The sequence below is a fragment of the Homo sapiens genome, chromosome 8 (genome assembly GCF_000001405.40).
Source record: "Homo sapiens chromosome 8, GRCh38.p14 Primary Assembly".
In the NCBI taxonomy this organism is placed as follows: domain Eukaryota; kingdom Metazoa; phylum Chordata; class Mammalia; order Primates; family Hominidae; genus Homo; species Homo sapiens.
Genome location: NC_000008.11, coordinates 67467730 through 67489464, shown reverse-complemented (window position 1 = coordinate 67489464; position 21735 = coordinate 67467730). Strand labels below are relative to the sequence as shown.

At 39.7% G+C, this 21735-nt stretch overlaps 1 protein-coding gene and 1 long non-coding RNA gene across 3 annotated transcripts in view; one reads left to right on the top strand and one right to left on the bottom strand.

Annotated features, from left to right (window-relative positions):
- Positions 1-21735, bottom strand: part of ARFGEF1-DT (ARFGEF1 divergent transcript) — a 148035-nt gene that overhangs the window by 2404 nt on the left and 123896 nt on the right. Inside the window, exon 4 of the long non-coding RNA NR_136224.1 lies at positions 14216-14276. This is a non-coding gene — a long non-coding RNA (ARFGEF1 divergent transcript). The remainder of the gene's footprint in view (positions 1-14215; positions 14277-21735) is intronic.
- The window catches only part of CPA6 (carboxypeptidase A6), a 324323-nt gene that overhangs the window by 256896 nt on the left and 45692 nt on the right, over positions 1-21735 (top strand). For both annotated transcript variants that reach the window (NM_020361.5, XM_017013646.2), the window contains exons 7-8: positions 4676-4786; positions 5607-5697. In NM_020361.5, coding sequence (NP_065094.3) covers positions 4676-4786; positions 5607-5697 — 202 coding nt within the window. The remainder of the gene's footprint in view (positions 1-4675; positions 4787-5606; positions 5698-21735) is intronic.

The window sequence follows — 21735 nt, the reverse complement described above, 5'->3', positions numbered from 1 at the left end:
TAAATCAAGGAAATTCAGTATTTAGAACTGAATGATAACAAAACTACTATGTATCGTAGGTGATTTCATCTTGATAGACATATAGAATGCAACTAAGGTAGTATTAAAGGGAAATTTATAATTTTAAATCAATATATGAGAAACGAATAAAGTCTCCAAGTTAGTGAGCCAATCTTTCCACTCACAAGAAATTAGAAAAGGAACAGAAATGTAAATGACAGGTCAGATCTGGTAGCTCATGCCTGTAATCCCAGCATTTTAGGAAGCTAAGAAGGAGGATTGCTTGAGCCCTGGAGTCTGAGACCAGCCTGGGCAACATAGGGAGACCCTGTCTCTACAAAAAAAAGAAAAAAAGAAAAAAAACACTCCTATTCAACATAGTGTTGGAAGTTCTGGCCAGGGCAATCATGCAAGAGAAAGAAATAAATGGTATTCAATTAGGAAATGAGGAAGTCGAATTGTCCCTATTTGCAGATGACATGATTGTATATTTAGAAAACCCCATCGTCTCAGCCCAAAATCTCCTTAAGCTGATAAGCAATTTCTGTGAAGTCTCAGGATACAAAATCAATGTGAAAAAATCACAAGCATTCTTACACCAATAACAGACAAACAGAGAGCCAAATCATGAGTGAACTCCCATTCACAATTGCTACAAAGAGAATAAAATACCTAGGAATACAACTCACAAGGGATGTGAAGGACCTCTTCAAGGAGAACTACAAACCACCGCTCAACGAAATAAAAGAGGACACAAACAAATGGAAGAACATTCCATGCTCATGGATAGGAAGAATCAATATCATGAAAATGGCCATACTGCCCAAAGTAATTTATAGATTCAATGCCATCCCCATCAAGCTACCAATGACTTTCTTCACAGAATTGGAAAAAACTACTTTGAAGTTCATATGGAACCAAAAAAGAGCCCACGTTGCCAAGACAATCCTAAGCCAAAAGAACAAAGCTGGAGGCATCAGGCTACCTGACTTCAAACTGTACTACAAGGCTACAGTAACCACAACAGCATGGGACTGGTACCAAAACAGAGATAGAGACCAATGGAACAGAACAGGGGCCTCAGAAATAACACCACACATCTACAACCATCTGATCTTTGACAAACCTGACAAAAACAAGCAATGGGGAAAGGATTCCCTGTTTAATAAATGGTGCTGGGAAAACTGGCTAGCCATATGTAGAAAGCTGAAACTGGATCCCCTCCTTACACCTTATGCAAAAATTAATTCAAGATGGATTAAAGACTTAAATGTTAGACCTAAAACCATAAAAACCCTAGAAGAAAACCTAGGCAATACCATTCAGGACATAGGCATGGGCAAGGACTTCATGACTAAAACACCAAAAGCAAAGGCAACAGAAGCCAAAATAGACAAATGGGATCTAATTAAACTAAAGGGCTTCTGCACAGCAAAAGAAACTACCATCAGAGTGAACAGGCAACCTACAAAATGGGAGAAAAATTTTGCAATCTACCCATCTGACAAAGGGCTAATTGCCAATCTACAAAGAACTTAAACAGATTTACAAGAAAAAAACAATCCCATCAAAAAGTGGGCAAAGGATATGAACAGACACTTCTCAAAAGAAGACATTTATGCATCCAAAAGACACATGAAAAAATGCTCATCATCACTGGTCATCAGAGAAACGCAAATCAAAACCACAGTGAGATATCATCTCACACCAGTTAGAATGGTGATCATTAAAAAGTCAGGAAACAACAGATGCTGGAGAGGATGTGGAGAAATAGGAACACTTTTATTTACACTGTTGGTGGGACTGTAAACTAGTTCAACGATTGTGGAAGACAATGTGGCGATTCCTCAAGGATCTAGAACTAGAAATACCATTTGACCCAGTGGTCCCATTACTGGGTATATAACCAAAGGATTATAAATCATGCTACTATAAAGACACATGCACACGTTATGTTTATTGCGGCACTATTCACAATAGCAAAGACTTGGAACCAACCCAAATGTCCATCAATGATATACTGGATTAAGAAAACATGGCACATATGCACCATGGAATACTATGCAGCCATAAAAAAGGATGAGTTCATGTCCTTTGCAGGGACATGGATGAAGCTGGAAACCATCATTCTGAGCAAACTATCACAAGGACAGAAAGCCAAACACCACATGTTCTCACTCAGGTGGGAATTGAATAATGAGAGCACTTGGACACAGGGTGGGGAACATCACACACTGGGACCTTTCTTGAGGTGGGGGTCAGGGGAAGGGATAACATTAGGAGAAACACCTAATGTAAATGACGAGTTAATGGGTGCAGCAAACCAACATGGCACATGTATACCTATGTAACAAACCTGCACGTTGTGCCCATGTACCCTAGAATTTAAAGTATAATTAAAAATATACATATATATTCAGAAAAAAAAATTTAATATTTAGCCAAGTGGCTCCTGCCTGAAGTCCCAGCTACTTGGGAGGCTGAGGCAGGAGGATCACTTGAGCCCAGGAGTTTGAGGCTGCAGAGAGCTATGATTGCACCACTGCACTCCAGCCTGGGTGACAAAGCAAGACGTCTCCAAAAAAAAAAAAAATTGTTAAGTCAACAACAACAAAATGTTAAAGAGCAGAAGTCAATAAAATAGAAAACAAGGATATATCTTTCTTAGTGTATCTTTGTTTTATATTTCATTAACTTCTGCTCTAGGCCTAAATGATCTCAGAGCTGAGTTCTACCATTCAGGGAACTAATAATTCAAATATATTAAAAAATATTCTACAAATATAATTTTTAGATACCCCCAAATCACAATAGGGTAATATAACCCTTGTAGCAAAACCAGACAAGGACAAAATACGAAAGAAAATCATACACTTAGCTCATGTGGAAATGTGGATATTAATACAGTCATGCATTGCTTGAAAACGAGGATATGTTCTGGGAAATGTGTCATTAAGCGATTTCATCATTGTGTGAACATCATAGAGTGTATTTAGGCAGACCTAGATGGTATTTTATTTATGTATATTTTTTCATGTGGAAAACTAAATGCCCCAGCATCACTGCTGAATTTCAGCCATTTTCCCTATTGATCTGCAATGCAAATATCAAGTGTCACATAGCAGATTTCTCTACATGTTCCATTATAATCTTGTGGAACCACAGTGGCATATGCAATCCATTGTTGACCAAAACATAGTTATATAGTGTATGACTGCGTTAGCAACCTGAATCCAACCAACATATTAAAAATACACATCATAACCAAATGGGCTTATCCCAGGAATACAAGGATGGTTTAACAACAGAAAATTATTTGACACATCATAACCACCAAATGATTATGACAATACAGGAAGAAAAATCATTTGCTAAAATTCAACAAACATTAGTGACAAAAACAACCTAAGTATAAAACAGAACCTCCTTAATGTGTTCAACCTTGATTTCAAAATTTATGTGAACAGGGAAGGGTCAAAAATAGTCACGATAATTTTAAACTCAAAAAACATGGGGAGACACATCCTACCAGACTCATCAGATTCTATATAAACCATGGTGTGAGTTTGGTGAATTGTTATAGACCAGAGTGCATTAATGCAATTCCATCCACAAATGGAAACTTGTTCTTTGGCATAGGTAACCTGTGCACTCACTGCAGATAGGAGTGTTTACTGATTTAATAAAATATGGCAACATTTAGCATAATTAAAAACATGTAAATCCATGACCCAACAAATCCATTCCTGGCTATATGTTATAAACAAATTCTCATATGTCTAGGAGAAATGTGCAAGCATATTTATTGCAATATTGTAACAGTGAAATACCAAACTCGATCTAACTGTCCATCAACAAAATAACTTGTGTATTTACCTATAATGGAATACCATTTAGCAGTCAAGATGAATAAATCCTCAACTTAATAAACATCAAAAATATATTGGGAGGAAAGCAGATCACAAATTAACATATCTCACTTACATATAATGTTAACGCATACACACAATATCATACATTGTTCTCATGCTACATATATATGTAGCAATACATACAATCATGCATGGAAAAGATAATGTCAAACTTAGGATAGGGATTACCTTGGTGGAGGGAAAGAAAATGGGATCAGGAAGTAATAAAAAGGGAGTTTTTGTTCATAATATCATAATATCATAAACTTTTTACAGAAAAGTAAGGAGAAAAGAATAGAGTCTCAATGCAGTAGGTTCCAAGGTTTGAGGCTGCTACTAATTAGACAATTAAGTGACATGCAGCTGGTCTGTGCTATGATCTATTGTGTAAAGCTATCAAATAGATTTAGGCAGTTATTTTGTCCACAATTGAATGGAATCTAAAAACAGGTGGTTATACAAATCCTATCTATGTTGCTGCTTTCTTAATCAGCCTAAAACTGTAGCCAGATCTTAATTACGATTAAGAGGCTGCCCAACTGATCTCTTTTAACAGCTCTGCTAAAAGATTATTGATAATAAAGAGTTTAATTCAGACAGAAGTCTTAACAGAATTTACAATGTCGAAGACTAAACTTCATGTTAGTTTATGACTTTTTAAACCACCGTATTTGGTAGTTCTCATGGATAGAAAGGATATCTCACACTCTTTTTTCCTCTTTTGGGGACCAATTTAAAAGAAAAATCTCACCTTTGTCTTTTAGGCTCTTCTAACATATAAGAGTGACCCAGCCATGAGAAAAATGTTGAATCATCTATATTTCTATATCATGCCTGTGTTTAACGTCGATGGATACCATTTTAGTTGGACCAATGTAAGTCACTTTGCCTACCCAGTTGAAAAGAGGACTAAATAAATCATAGAAAACAGAGTCACAAACTTCCAGGACAGGAAAGAAGCTGGACAGGCAATCAGCTGAGTGATTCCAGAGATGCAAAAGAGGCCTTCACTCTTTCCCCAATCAGAGCACCAACAATTAGATTTCATTTTCACATCTAGATTTTGTAGAGATTTCACATAAATAAAGATTCCTTCTTCCAAATAAATTGTGAAAAATCACTAGTCTAGTCCAGCCCATTCAATTTTGCCTATAAAGAAATGGGGCCAAGAGAAGGCAAAAAGGCCGGGCGCGGTGGCTCAAGCCTGTAATCCCAGCACTTTGGGAAGCCGAGACAGGCAGATTACAAGGTCAGGAGATCGAGACCATCCTGGCTAACACCGTGAAACCCCGTCTCTACTAAAAATACAAAAAAAAATTAGCCGGGCGCGGTGGCGGGCGCCTGTAGTCCCAGCTACTCGGGAGGTTGAGGCAGGAGAATGGTGTGAACCCGGGAGGCGGAACTTGCAGTGAGCCGAGATCGTGCCACTGCACTCCAGCCAGGGCGATAGAGCGAGACTCTGTCTCAAAAAAAAAAAAAGAGAAGGCAAAATACAGGAAGTTTGTAGCAGAAATTGGAGCATGAACCTGGGTCTCCACTACTAATCCAGTGCTCTTTTTCACTCCCTGGGCTTGTCTATTCACAGGAGAACTCTCCCCTCAGTGGTATGACTCTTTCATTGATTGAGCTATTAAAATGCATGCGAATAACCTTTTAAGTATTTTTCTCAGCACCTGTTTTCTTAATTATGTCTAGGATCGATTTTGGAGAAAAACAAGGTCAAGGAACTCAAGGTTTCGCTGCCGTGGAGTGGATGCCAATAGAAACTGGAAAGTGAAGTGGTGTGGTAAGTTTGGGACCAACTGGGATCCAGATCCAAAGGTTTCTGCAGGTTTTACTCTGCAAAATATGAGTCCAGAGGACTCTCATGGGAGACTCATGTTTTTCTGTATGTGAAAACCTGGTAGAGAAAGGTACAGATACGTACATGATAGCTGTAATTGGCAAAAGAAAATGAAAGGATTCTTTTTTAATATATAAAAATCAAGGATTTTAAATATGTCAATTCGGTCCTGAAAACTGAAAATTTAAATACATATGTAAAAGCAGCAAACTGAGGAATATTTGTCATTCCCCAAATTAAAACATGAACCGTGGTGTAGTATAATTCTGGTTAAATCTTTTTATCCTTTTCATACAAGCACCACTGATGCTGCATTCGGCTGTCTGTCGTGGTCAGAGCTGTCATGACCTTGTCTATATTCTACCACTCTGCTGGTCATACGTGGATTGACCATGCACATTGGGAATGTATTTCTGCTGCATTCCATGTTTCATTAATAATCACCTTTAAAATAAAAGGAAGATGTCATTTTAAGGAAGGAAACCCTTCTACTGAAGAAAGAAGGAGGGAAGTGTCAGGGAGAAATGAGAAAATTAGTCATGGCTAGTTTACTTGCAGCAGAAAAAGGAAAGGATGGAAAATTATTATCAAAATGCAGTCGTTAGGAGCTGCCTTTGTATTGAGTCTTTCTGTAGGTCCCTCAAAATATAGACCCTTGTGTAATGGAAATCCTTCCTTTAGTCCCTTAGAAATGAGGCCTAGTCCACATTCACTCATTCTACAATGAGGGTTAGGTTCTATGTGAGATGCCAATCCTCCCATCCCACTAGCATCAGCTAGAATAACTGGGCGTGGGCTTTGATTCCTTCCACACATCCCTCCAAGCAAGAGGCTTCAGTCAATTAGAATTGGCAAATAAGAACATGACATAGCTAAAAGAATATGGCTCTAAAATAAGACAAATGTAGTCTGATTCTACCATTACTAGCTCAGTAATTTGGGCAATTTTATTCAATCTATGAAAGTATAATGCCAACCACCTCATGAGGTTCTTATAGGGACTAAAGGAATTTATATATGTGAAATGTCTAATTTAGTTCCTAGCTCCAAACTGGGATCTAAGTATCAGTAACCTATCCCTTGTTCCCTGACCCCCAGAACAGTCAGTTCACCTCTAAGCCTCAGATCAGTTGGTGAAACAGCCTCTTTTCTTCACGGGAATGTTGTGATGATGAGCAATAATGTATACTTAAAAGCACTTGCATTTATGAAGGGAAAAACACCATTGTATAAATACTATGATGTGGTATTATAGATGACTATTTCTATTTAGAAATTGTTTTCTCCAACCTATACTGAAACAACAAGCACATTAACTCCTGAAATCCACTAACTTAAAAAAAACTTTTCACTTTCCCTTCTCTCTGATGGGGCCATTTTCCATACTCATAAACACAGGGATGTTTCGCTTGTTAGTGGAGACTCGCATCCACATATATGTCATATACATGCCTACAGGCATCTGCATGAGTGCTCTGGATGGGTAATTGAGCTGAGTAACTCTAGCAGCAGCCAGCTCTGCCTATGTAAACTTAGACTCCTGTTTATATCAGGTGCAAGTAAGGTCTTGCTTCCCTTTGTTGTTCTTCCTTTACCCAGCTTGCTTCCTTCATACACATGCCTTCTTTGGTTTTTCAGTTTCAGCTGCAGACCCAACTAGAATTCCTTTGACTCTTCCCAGTTTTGAATCGTTCTGATTTTTTCTGTGAGCCAACACTCAAGATATACAAGGGATTATGTCAAATGCAGTTGCAAAATGATCTTGATAGACTGTTGGAAGTGATGGGGAAGTGCAGGCAGCCTGGCTGGTACTGTGTCAGCTGCAAGGTCTCCAGAGTGGATTCAGCTGATCCGATAGGCAGGCAGCCAAGTGTGACCTGCCTCCCTCCCAGGGTCAGGTCCATCCCCCCGCAGTTATGTGCTGCATGAAGGGGACAGGGAACTACAATGTGGGAATCACTCTGAGGTCAGGGGTATTGAGGTAAGTATGAAATTCCCTAAAGTGAACCTCCAAATAAACATCCATAGCATAAATGACGTAGAAATGCCCAGACCATTGAAAACACTGTAGGGTCAGCATGGAAGTGACAAAAACAGCTGTTTCTTTCTCTTAAGTCAGTGATTCTTGAAATTAAAGAGCAGAACATGAAACTGCTTTTTACCATGAAGAATCTGTGGATCCCCGTGTGGTAGTGGTTATGCTTTAGTGCGTGCATGTGGAATAGTCCAGCATGCAAGTACAGACAGGCATACTTTTTGAATACTTCATAGCTCCCCTGAGGGTGTTTCACCCATAAGATGAATATCACTGGTCTGAAAGTCCCCCAGAAGGACTCGACAAGTCAGAGTAGTGGTAGGAACTAGGAATAAATGCATAAATTTCTTTCATTCATTTGCCAAAGTTAATCAAGCACATTCTCTCTGTGAAGCACTGTGCTTTTTTCTTTCCTCTGTGCACTCTTTTTAAAATATGCTGTAAGCACTGATTTTCCAAATTGGAACAAATCGAGGAGAAAGGTAAAGGGTTTGGATAATATCCATACTTAATCTTTAACTTCTGAATAATTCAAGTGTTGCCTAAATACAAATTACTATTTAGAAAAACCTATGGAACATAAAACAATTTTGCAAATCATATATCTACTAAGAGACTTCTATTCAAAACATAGAATTCTCTCAACAATAAAAACACAAGTAACCCAATTTAAAAGTGCACAAATGATTTCAACAGATACTCTCCAAAAAAGATATATAAAAGAGAATAAGCACATGAAAATACGCTCAACGTCATTAGCCAACAGAGAAATGTACATCAAAACCACAATAGGAATAGGTACCACTTCACATCTACTAAGACGGCTATAATAAAAAGACAATAACATGTGTTGGTGAGGGTGTAAAAAAACTGGGACATTCATACTTGCTGGTGAGAATGTAAAATGCTGCAGCCACTTTGGAAAACAGTTTGGCATTTCCCTAAAAAGTTAAAAACATATGACCCAGCAACTCCACTCTTAGATATATATATATATACCCAAGAGAAATGAAAACATTTATTCCCATAATGACTTGTACATGAATGTTCATAGTAGTATTATTCATAATAGCCAAAAAGTGGAAACAACCCAAATGTCTATCAACTGATGAATAGATAAACAGAATGTGGTATATTTATAGAATGGAATATTATTTGGGCATAACAAGAATGAAGTACTGATACATTCTGCAGCATAGATACTTAAAAATATTATGCTAAGTGAAAAAAGTCAGTCACAAAAGAGCAAATGAAATGTCCAGAATAGGCAAATCTATAGAGATAGAGAGTAGATTCGTGGTTGCCAGGGGCTGAGGAGAGGGGAAAATTAGGGAGTAACTTTTGAGGGGTAAGGGGTTTCTTTTGGGGGTGATGAAAACATTCTAGAATGAGATGTGACAATTGTGAATATACTGAAAGCCATTGAATTGTACATTTTAAAAGGGTGAATTTCATAATATGTGAATTATAGCTGATTATAAAGCAATACAGCTATTATAAAAATATTTTTGTTTCTATTTAGGAGCAAGTTAGGCACTTATTGAAACATAATAACTCTTTAGAACACTCAGTTACCTAATATTATAAATTAGATATAACACGGAGAAAACTATACGATTTTTTTAGCAGCCCAACCACATGTGCCCCTCTCTATATATGCCCTTTTCCGACCACCACCCTCCCACTCTATCCAAAAAAAAAAAAGTGGAGCCGGGGGCTGTTCTGCTTGACCAATCATTTGGGTAGATCATCTGGAGTGAAGAGAGAAACCATTACAAATTGGGGGTTTTCAGCCAATCCCTATGAAATAACAATAGATGGCCACTGGCCTGCTTTCTAAAACGATGAGTTCCTCCAGCTGAGTGGCTTTTGTTTGGAGAGAGCTATACTAGCTGAGGACCTAAACTGAATTGTTCTGAAAATATAGAGAATTTCAGAGCCTAAATTTGGGGCAAAGAGAGCAATAAAAAGAGGTAATGTTGCTAGACTGTATGGAAAGAGACTTTAGTACTCAAAAATGCCTATAGCGGATTGCAATTAAACTTTGCTGTGAAGTATGCAAATTCTCCAGCATTTCACAACCACCACCACAGGTAATATTCAGTACAATCTACTTCACTAAGTGTAGGCCCAAGGGAAAACTCTCCCTTTGCCCTCTGAAGTTTTGCTGAAAATCAACTGACAAAAGGCAGATTCATAGGATGAAAGGCATACAAATTTTAACATGCATAGCATGAGGGAATCACAGAAGGATGATTACCCAATAATACAATGGGGTACAGAGGTTTATAAACCCTTCTTTATAGGGGTAGGGAGAAATGTGGCAATTTGAGGCAAGGTGAAAGATTTTTAGGGGAATTCAATGGACTTGAAGAATATACAGCAGACAATAGTTGATGACAAATGCCTGTCCAGGTGTGTTGACAAACCTCAGTCTCTACCTGCAATATGAGTTAAATTAATGAAAATTCAGAGAAAGGACTACAGGTAACTGTTTTCTTCTTTGGTGGGTCTGGACTTGAGCTAGATAAGGAAATATCAGCATAAAGCTTCTTCCAGGATCTGCTGTTCTTCAAAGGCCATTAATTGAAAATAATTAGCATGCTAGGGTGCTATATTGGGGGTGTCGATTTCTTTCTTTCTTTTCTTTTCTTTTAGACAGAGTCTTGCTCTGTCGCCCAGGCTAGAGTGCAGTGACGTGATCTCAATTTACTGCAAACTCTGCCTCCCGGGTTCAAGCGATTGTCCTGCCTCAGCCTCCCAAACTGGGATTACAGGCACCCACCACCACGCCGGGCTAATTTTTGTATTTTTAGTAGAGATGTTGGCCAGGCTGGTCTCGAACTCCTAAGCTCAAGTGATCCACCTGCCTCGGCCTCCCAAAGTGCTGGGATTACAGGCATAAGCCACCATGCCCAGCCAGGGGTGTCAATTTCTAAGCCCCAACATAAGGATTTGTGGAATTGGATCTGCCCTCTGGGTAAGGAATGATCAGAAAAACCCAAAGTGTTTTTACTTTTCTTAGTACAACACTTCTGACACCAGATGTTTGAGGTTTTCTTGCTAAACCCCAAGCAACTCTGCAGTGGACACCAGCTGGGTGTCTTATAATTCAATTCAATTCTGACTCTATCTACCTAAAGTGAGTGTCTGATTCCTCAGGTTAAAGGCTCAGTCCCACAAGATTGCCCCCAACCTCAAATGTCAGTTACAAATGCCAGCTTGTGACCTGTACTTCTGACTGACTGGCTATAAATCAGGGTTCCCAAGACCCCCTCTTTCAATTCGATCTGCTACAATGATTCACAGAAACACTTTATATATGTTTATCAGTTTATTATAAAGGATACAGATAAACAGCCAGATGAAAGAGATGCATATAGCAAGGTATGTGGGAAGGGCATGAAAGCTCCGTGCCCTTTCCATGGGCACCACCCTCCATGAACCTCCATGTGTCCAGCTATCCGGAGCTCTCGGAATCCAGTTCTTTTGGGTTTTTACAGAGGCTTGATCATGTGGGCATGCTTGATTAAATCACTGGCCATTGGTGATTGGCTTAACCTTAAGCCTTCCCAAGAGGTTGGGGAGGTGGCACTGAAAGTCCCAACCCTCTCATCATGCCTTGGTCTTTCAGTGACCTGTCCCCATTCTGAAGCTCCCTAGGGACCCCCAGCCACCAGTCATCCTATTAGCATACAAAGACACTTATCACTCCAGAGAGTCTAAAGATTTTAGGAGCTGTATGTATTCCAGGAAACAGGATGAAGACCAAATACATATTTCACAATATCACCCTGGGGATGTGATGAAGTGCTGAGTCTGGCTTCAAGGTAAGCTCAGGGAAAGAACTAATCCACATTAAATTTCAGAGGCATGGAACTCACAGCAAGAATGCACTGCCTTAGAAGAGTGAATTTCTGTCACTGGAGATTAATAGACAAGCTCTGATCCAGGTAACTTCTGGCTGAGAATGACGTGTTGATGCGTACTAAACATCAACTAACTGGTCAAACTAGGCCCTTAAGACTCCTGCCAGCTCTGTTAGTGATGACTCTAACATACATTAATCCACTTTTATATCCAAATGAGTGTATTGAGCCCCTTCTATATTGCAAAGAGCTAGAAATTATATAAGAAAGTCTTGAAAGATTTAATGAGTTCACATCCCACTCCTAAGAAATTATCTGGGATCCTGGAGAAATACAAAGTGAAAAGATCTGTTGGCTTATAGTATTCTTTGCTTAACAACCAATTTAATATGAAAAGATATAAATTACCTAATATCTAACAAAGTTGGTAGAAAATTTTAAAACTAGAAGATGAATGAGCTAAACTGTAATGCTTAGTTATGCTTTTTTTTTTTTCCTTTTTTTTTTTTTTTTTTTTGAGATGGAGTCTCCCTCTGTCACCCAGGCTGGAGTGCAGTGGTGCAATCTCAGCTCACTGCAAGCTCCGCCTCCCAGGTTCAGCCATTCTCCTGCCTCAGCCTCCCAAGTAGCTGGGACTACAGGTGCCCGCCACCACTCCCAACTAATTTTTTTGTATTTTTAGTAGAGATGGGGTTTCACCGTGTTAGCCAGGATGGTCTCTATCTCCTGACCTCATGATCCACCTGCCTCGGCCTCTCAAAGTGCTGGGATTACAGACGTGAGCCACCGCAACTGGCCTTAGTTATGCTTTTTATAAAGGAAGTTAAGGACCTAGAATCCTGGATATGTAGAAATTTAGATCATAAGGATTTGCTCACCATTGTTGATACATGGCTGGCACTTCTTAAGGATTCATTATGTGCCAAGTAAGTGCTAAATGCTCAACACGAACTTCTCATTGGTAGATGCTACTATTATCCCTGTTTGGCTGATGAAGAAACTAAGAGAGAAGTGAGGGAACTTGCTCAAGATTACGAATTGAGCTCAAATGAAAAGTCAAATCTGACTGACTTCAGTGTCTGTTTCTAACCATAATCTGACTCCTTAGGGATCAAGTTGCCATGAATGATTACTTTTACTCATTTGGTTGAAGAGTTAAACAATGTGTAACTGCAGAAGAGCAGTTTAGGTATCAGAATAACCATATGAATTGAACTGTTTTATCCAAAATGAAATAGACAAAAAAAAAAAAAGAGAGAGAGAGAGAGATTGGGAATGTATGGTAAGAAGGAAGTAGCGGAAGATCCCCCAGGTACTATTTCTATTTCTGATCTTGGACCACCACATACCATGCTAATAGTTTGAATTTACAAACCCATGAGATGTCAGGCATATGGTTATGAATTCTCCAGGAAGACCTTTTTCTTTCCCAGCCAGAGTTTGGCATCTTCCCGTGAAGGCAGATTTTTGTAGCCCACATTTTCATGGAAAGTGTCCTACTTTGGGGCGGGCATGTTGGCTCACACCTGTAATCCCAGCACTTTGGGAGGCTGAGGTGGGCAGATCACTTGAGGCCAGGAGTTTGAGACCAGCCTGGCCAACATGGTGAAACCCCACCTCTACTAAAAATATGAAAATTAGCCAGGTGTGATGACACATGTCTATAATCCCAGCTACTTGGGAGGCTGAGGCACAGGAATGGCTTGAACGGTTGCCGTGAGCCAAGATCGCACCACTGCACTCCAACCTCAGCAACAGAGCAAGACTCTGTATCAAAGAAAGGAAGAAAGGAAGGAAAGAAGGAAGGAAGGAAGGAAGGGGAGAGAAAGAAAGAGAGAGAGAGAAAGAGAAAGAAAGACAGAGAAAGAAAGAGAAAGAAAGAAAGAAAGAAAGAAAGAAAGAAAGAAAGAAAGAAAGAAAGAAAGGAGAAAGAAAGAAAGAAAGAAAGAAAGAAAGAAAGAAAGAAAGAAAGAAAGAAAGAAAAGAAAGGAAAGAAAGAAAGAAAGAAAGAAAGAAAGAAAGAAAGAAAGAAAGAAAGAGAAAGAAAGAAAAAAAGAAAGAAGGAAAGAAAGAAAAAAAGAGAAGGGAAGGAAGGGAAGGAAAGGAAAGAAAAGAAAGAGTCCTGCTCTGAGACTGCCAGGTGTGTGTCTGGGTCTTGCTCCCTTTTCCTGCAAACTGAGAACCCAAATACTGATCCCCTGCCTCCACCACATGTGGCCATTGAAACAAGCCTCCAGGTCAGAGACCAGCAAACATCCCAAGCAAGCCTGCAGCTTTTGCTTCAGCTTCAGCCATTATTCCAGCTCCCTCTTCACTCTTGTACCCTCAGGAACATTTTTGAGAACTGTGCCGTGTATTTACATTGTTTTCTTGATCATTTTAGATGTGTTTGTAGCAGGAGCTTTTATCACAGTATGTGCCACAATTCCATCATATTGCTAGAAAACCCAGCTATCATTTTAGACATTAACACACTTAGAATTAGTGCTGGCCTGACTTCTTGATGATGGTTTTAGGGCCTTTTATCCTCATCATAGTGTATCTAAAACAATCTTATCTGCACTTGATTCTCCGGAACTTACCAATGCCAGACAACTTACTTTCTTCTTTGCTGCCTCCTACAAGTAACAATGTCACAACAATAGTATCACAGTTTCCAAATAAAAGTGTAACTTGAAGGTATTTCTCACTCTTATTTTAAATGTTGTCTTTCAAATCCTTTATAACAGTCCTTTTGATACTTAGGGAGAGCTAACAATGAATGCTGAGACTTAGGAAGAACTGGTTTTTTGGGTTTTTTTGTTTTTGTTTTTAAGATAGGATCTAGCTCTGTTGCCCAGGTTGGAGTGCAGTGGTGTAATCATGGCTCACTGCAGTCTCTACTAAAAGCCTCAACATCTTCGGTTCAATCAATCCTTCCACCTCAGCCTTCTGAGTGTAGCTGGGATTACCAGTGTGAGCCATCATACCTGACTAATTTATTTTTTATTTTTCATAGAGATAGAGTCTCACTATATTGCCCAGGCTGGTCTCAAGTTCCTGGGCTTAAACGATCCTTCCAACTCAGCCTCCCAAAGTGCTGGGATTACAGATGTGAGCCACCATGTCCGACCAGAAGAACTGGTTCTTAATTATGTTTCTGATTTTGTTGTTTTAGGTGTTCTCCTTTCAGTTTCTCTAAGAATGAAGTCAGTAGTGTGCATTATGGGCATAGGCACTCTCCATCCATTCCAAACTCTTTCTAAGTGCCTTCCTGTACTGCTGAGGCCAAAAAGATAAAAGCTGCGGCCGGCGGCTGTGGCTCACGTCTGTAATCCCAGAACTTTGGGAAGCCGAGGTGGGTGGATCACGAGGTCAGGAATTTGAGACCAGCCTGGCCAATATGGTGAAACCCCATCTCTACTAAAAATACAAAAAATTAGCCGGGCTTGGTGGCCCATTCCTGTAGTCGCAGCTATTCAGGAGGCTAAGGCAGGAGAATCGCTTGAATCCGGGAGGTGGAGGTGGCAGTGAGCCAAGATCGCACCACTGCACTCAAGTCTGGGCGACAGAGCAAGACTCCGTCTCAAAAAAAATAAAAAATAAAAATAAATAAAAGCTGCATTTCTAGAACTCCTTAAGCTAGGGATCTGGGTGTGACTTAGGTTCTACCTCTTTGGTGCGCTCACCTCGGCTTTTAAAGCATGGAAGAAAGATGGAAGTTGCTTTTCTATGGCTTCCATGGTCCTACTGCCTGCTACCATTATGGAAGTGTGTGGTTCATTCAAAGCAGCTCACCTTCTTGGCTGTCCTCTGAATGTGCTCCTTCCTCGTCTTGGAAGAGACAGTAGCCTTCCTGGTCAAGTCTTCCAAGAAGGCTCTGAAAAATGTTTTATACTTTTTTTTTTTAATCTCCTCTGCTACCAGTCATGGTGGCTCAAGCCCGTAATCCCAGCACTTTGGGAGGCCTAGGCAGGCAGATCACCTGAGCCCGGGATTTCGAGACCAGCCTGGGCAACAATGGTGAAACCCCATCTCTACAAAAAAATACAAAAATTAGCCAGGCGTGGTGGCACGTGCCTGTAATCCCAGTTATTCAGGAGGATGAGGCAGAAGGATTGCCTGAGCCTGGGAGGCGGAGGTTGCAGTCAGCCAAGATCAAACTACTATACTCCAGCCTGGGTGACAGAGTGAGACCTTGTCTCAAAAAATAAAAATAAAAATAAAATCCCCTTAAAACTAGCCATAGGGGATTCTGTGCCTTTTCATGAAACTCTGACCAGTACAGAGTCTTTTATAAACATTTCATTTCCTACTTTGTATCTATTACTTTGACCAAGAATTCTTTCATAAGCTTTGTCTAACATTCAGCTCAATTTTTCTTTTTCCTTGTATTCATTACTGCTACTATCTTACCTTTTCATATTTCATTGCCATCTACCATGCTAATTTGTCCTTTTAAAATAATGTATCTACTAGAAATATTAGTCAGCTATTATCTCCCTCCTTAGCACTACTCAACTGGGGAATATATTAATCCCTTTCAGCACTCCTCTGTCTCATCAACCTTAAACATATTTTTGCAAACTTCATTCTTTCTAGGGTAGAAGATCACAGGCTAACTGGAAATCTTTTGTTTCTAAGATTTAAAGAAAATACAAAAAGCTTTCCTTTTCTTCTCTTCCTATTCAGAGCTATTTTCTAGCTAATACACTGCTAAAAAGAGCTATTCTATCTTTTGTTAAGTTGCTCTTAAGTTGTTCTTTTCCTAATCTAGACACTGATTATATGCAAAAATCATTTCCTCTCCCTGTTTTATATTTCATGATCCTTAGGCAGAACATGCCCAGAAGCTTTTTAAAATGACTTTTTTGTAACAACAGATTATAAATAATGCTTGAGACTCATTTTGTGTGTATACACAAAACACTATATTGTTGTTTTATTTCTCTGATTATTCTTGTGAGTAAATGTGTAAGAATTTGCATTTGAAGGACAATATCTAGTTTATTTATAACATCTATTGCAACATCATGAATAAATATATTTGCTGAAGTTTTTGATAATGACATTACAAACAAAGTTTAAAAACCTTTTACAAGCCAGGCGCAATGGTTCATGCCTGTACTCCCAGCATTTGGGGAGGCCAAGGCAAGTGGATCACTTGAGCTCAGGAGTTTGAGACCAGCCTGGGCAACATGACAAAACCCTGTCTGTACCAAAAAAATACAAAAATTAGTTGGGCATGGTGACGTATGCCTGTAGTCCCAGCTACTCGGAAGGCTGAGGTGGTTAGGATTGCTTGAGCCCAGGAGGCGGAGGTTGCACTGAGCCCAGGCTGTGCCACTGCACTCCGGCCTGGGTGACAGAGCCAGACCCTGTCTCAATAAAATAAAATAAAATAAAATAAAATAAGATAAGATAAAATAAAATAAAATAAAATAAAATAAAAAAATAAATCTTTTACAAATAACTTAGTTTTCAAAGTCAATGAGTAAGCAGCACATAAAAATGCTATTTTTGAAGTGAGACATGGGGGAGGTGGCAGAATTACTCCCTTGGCTCTTGGGACACTAAGCTACTGATTTTTTATTTGGTACTGATTTTGAAGCCCAATAATTTTATTGTCCCTGTTTCAGCAGGTAACACTCCCATGCTGCTCAGTCTTTAGGAGGCCTCCAGTCTTTCTGTCAGCATATGAGTAAGGTTTTTAAAAAGCTCTTACCTACTAATACCTTTTCCACTATACTGGCCACTTTTCAGTGTTTTTTGCATTTCTGATTTCACTGATAACAAAATACATCTCTCTGATAATTTTCCTCCAGCTGTATCATTTGCATTTGAGAAGTCATGCTATTTTTTATTTTCGTAAATTTCATGCCTATATAAGTGCTTTGATTTTTTGGGTCCTTGTTACCATTTTTATCATCTCATAAGCATTATTGCATTATATTCCTCCTGGGTCACTAATGTTATTAAATATTTTCCTTATTTTCAGATTCCCAATTCTCTTTCAATTTATATTCTTGTTTTTAATCCAAACTCCTTATGAAGTAACTTTTCTGTTATTAAAACCATCTCTTTTGAATGCTATTCTCAAACACAGATGTAGGTAAATGATGATATTCTTTTTATCTACCACCTTTTATATTTGTTTGAAACGCTGAGGTATGCTGAATAATGACAAGAGACAGATGGGCAGTCACCTTGCCTTTATTCTGTCTTGCAGAACAGCATTTCCCAAACTCCACAAAACCCTAGTGAACTATAGAACACAGAAGGTGCCAAAAAACAAAACAAACAAACAAAAAAAAACAACACTAATGTTAGGAGTATTTTTAATATGTAAGAGAAAGGGATTTTTTTTTTACAATTAAAAAAATACCAAATGCATTTTATATAGTTGTCACCTCAGAGGTTATCAGATGCATCCTTGAATTTAGTCATTCATGTATTCAACTAGCTGATTATTGGGGAAAACAGCAATGAAGAAAACAAAGAAAGTCAGGTTGTTACACATGCTAGACAGTGCAGCAGTGAGGGTTGGTGAGCTATTTTAGGTGGCCTGGGGAAGCCCACCCTGATGACGCTTGGGAGGGGAGGAAGTCTAGGGAAAGACAGTGCACACAGAAGGAACAGTCATGTAAAGGCCCGCATTGGGAGAATCTTTGGTGGGTTTCAGGAAGAGCCAGGAGAGTGTCTGGCTAGAGCTGAGGGAGGAAGAGAGAGAGGAGTAGAAGAAGAGGCAGAAGTGGTCAGAGGCAAGATAATGGAGGTTCTGTGTCGAAGGAAGGACTTTGGATTTTATTCTGCATAGGTTGGGAAAGCGCTGGAGAGTTTTGAACCAAGGAACAACATGACCTTGCTTTTTAAGAGACTCCTTCTGGCTACTGCATACTAAATGGATCATCAAGGGCAGATATTTAGATTCTAATTATACCTTCCCATTTGAATGCATTGCTTTCAAAATATAATAAAAGCCTAATCTAAGAATATTATTATCTGCATCTTTAGAGAACCATGGCATATACCACATTGAATTGTATATATAAATATACCTTTATTATGTGAAGAATTGTTATTTTAAAAGGTACCAAAATGGAGATAAGCAACCATGTGAAAAAAAAGTATTTGCAGCAAATACAGCAGAGAATGGTTTATTATCGTTTTTATATAAACACTTCAGAATCAAACATTACATAAAAATAATGTTAATAGTCCACACAAAATGTGAAGAAAATCTCCAAGACTCTGGTAGGTTAAAGAAATTTAAAAAGCATAGAGTCTCAATTCATGAAAATAAACAAACATGAGAGAATGAGCAGCCTCCTCATAATCAAAAATAATATTAAAATAAAACAGTGTAACATTTATCTATTAGGTTATTGCCCAAAATGTTTAATGTGATCATCTAAGCTGGGCGCTGTAACTGGGATGGCATATATCTCTCGGGGCGTAAGAAAGCAATTTGGTGAGGCACATCAGAAACATGATCCAAGGCCGGGCGTGGTGGCTCACACTTGTAATCCCAGCACTTCGGGAGGCTGAGGTGGGTGGATCACATGAGGTCAGGAGTTTGAAACCAGCCTGACCAATATGGGGAAACCCCGTCTCTACTAAAAGTACAAAAATTAGCTGGGCATGGTGGTGCATGCCCGTAATCCCAGCTACTTGGGAGGCTGAGGTGGGAGAATTGCTTGAACCTGTTGGGAGTGGACGTTGCAGTGAGCCAAGATCATGCTCCAGCCTGGGTGATAGAGTGAGACTCTGCCTCAGAAAAAAAAAAGAAAAAAAAAAAAGGAAACATGATCCATTCCTCCATTTATTCAAAAATATGAAATGAATGCCTTCTATCTGCCACATTGTGAGCTAGGTACTTGGGAAGCAGAGACAGATGCCACAGATTCCCTGTCTTCATGGAGTTTCAAATCACTGAGATTAGAATGAGTGAAGGGAAGGGGAAAAAAAGAGAGAGAAAGAGGGAGTGGAGAAGGGAAAAGAGATAAACAGAACCAATTGGATGTATAGAGAGAGACAGCGTGTTTAAGGCATTGGTTCACACAATTACAGAGGTTGGCAAGTCCAAAATCTACAGGGTAGGCCAGCAGGCTGGAAACCCAGGGATGTGCCCACGTTGCAGTTCAAGTCTGAAGGCAGAATTCACTCTTGCTAAAGAGAAGAGCAGGAGGGGTGGGGCTGGTCATTTCTTTCTTTTCTTTTTTTTGAGACAGTCTCACTCTGTCACCCAGGCTGGAGTGCAGTGGTGCAATCTCACCTCATTGCAACCTCTGCCTCCTGGGTTCAAGTGCTTCTCCTGCCTCAGCATCCCAAGTAGCTAGAATTACAGGCATGCACCACCACGTCCAGCTAATTTTCGTATTTTTAGTAGAGACAGGGTTTCACCATGTTGACCAGGCTGGTCTCAAACTCCTGACCTCAGGTGATCTCCCTGCTTCAGCTTCCCACAGTGCTGGGATTACAGGTGTGAGCAACCATGCCCAGCCTCTTTTTGTTCTATTCAGGGCTTTAACTGATTGGATGAGGCCCACCCACTTTATGGAGGGTAATCTGCCTTACCCAAAGCCCACTGATTTAAATGTTAATCTCATCCAGAAATACCCTCACAAAACATTAAGAGTAATGTTTGACCAAATATTATATAGGTGCTGTGGCCTAGCCAAATTGACACATAAAATTAACCATCACAGAAACTATAATAGAAATAGATAGATATAAATACGCACACATGTATTCACACTTGGTAAAGTCAGAAAAGTCTTCATAGAGGAGAGAAGGGCAGATTTGAAAATTAAGAATGTATTTGACACCAGGGTAGACTAAACTGTAGGGCAGAAGGTGAATAAAGCAAAGGATGCAGGGTCAAGAGGGCATTCTAGGTAAGGGACACAGGTGGAGACCTGAAGAAAATATGTGGCATGTCAACAGGATGGAATGTGGTGAGGACAGCAAGAGGCCCTGTATGGCTCTGATGAAGGATGACAGGAAGCAGTAGTGAGAAGTGAGGACCCAGAGATACAGTACATGCTGAGGTTCCATGCCACGCTGAGCTGTGCAGATTTTATTCTAGAAGCCATGTTATTCAAACTGGTGTGTTTGCAAGTGGGGTTATGTCACAGAGAAAGTCATAAAAGGTTATTGCCCACTTACAGGGCACATGAATTTCTTTTTCTTATTATTATTATTTTATTTTATTTTATTTTATTTTATTTTATTTTATTTTATTTTTGAGACAGAGTCTCGCTCTTGTCGCCCAGGTGCAATGACGCGATCTCGGATCACTGCAACTTTCACCTCCCAGGTTCAAGCGATTCTCCTGCCTCAGCCTCCCGAGTAGCTGGGATTACAGGCCCCTGCCACCACACCCACTGGTATTTTTTAGTATTTTTAGTAGAGACAGGGTTTCTCCATGTTGGCCAGGCTGGTCTCGAACTCCTGACCTCAGGTGATCTGCCCACTTCAGCCTCCCAAAGTGCTGGGATTACAGGTGTGCCCAGCCAGGGCACATCAATTTCACTGAAAGATTTTGGAAGCTGAATTATTTTATGTGAGGATAAACCCAAACATATAATCAAATAAACCTTAGAGTTCATGTGAATTTTTAAGATAAAACAAGGATTTCAAAGGTGTTCTTAACTAACAGTCTATGTTGGCATTGCCTGTTAGGGGTATTTTAGTGGAAATGTTTGACAAACACAAGATAATTGGGAGCCCTTACAGATTGTTTTTTGGGGTTATTTGTTTGTTTGTTTGAGATGGTGTCCCGTTCTGTCGCCCAGGCTGGAGTGCAGTGGCATGATCTTGGCTCACTGCAACCTCCACCTCCCGGGTTCAAGCGATTCTCCTGCCTCAGCCTCCCAAGTAGCTGGGATTACAGGAGCCTGCCACCACACCTGGCTAATTTTTTTTTTTTTTTTTTTTTTAGACGGGGTTTCGCTCTTGTCGCCCAGGCTTAATTTTTGTATTTTTAATAGAGATGGGTTTTCACCCTGTTGGCCAGGCTGGTCTCGAATTCTTGACCTCAAGTGATTTGCCCCCCTCGGCCTCCAGAAGTCCTGGTATTACAGGCATAAGCCGCCG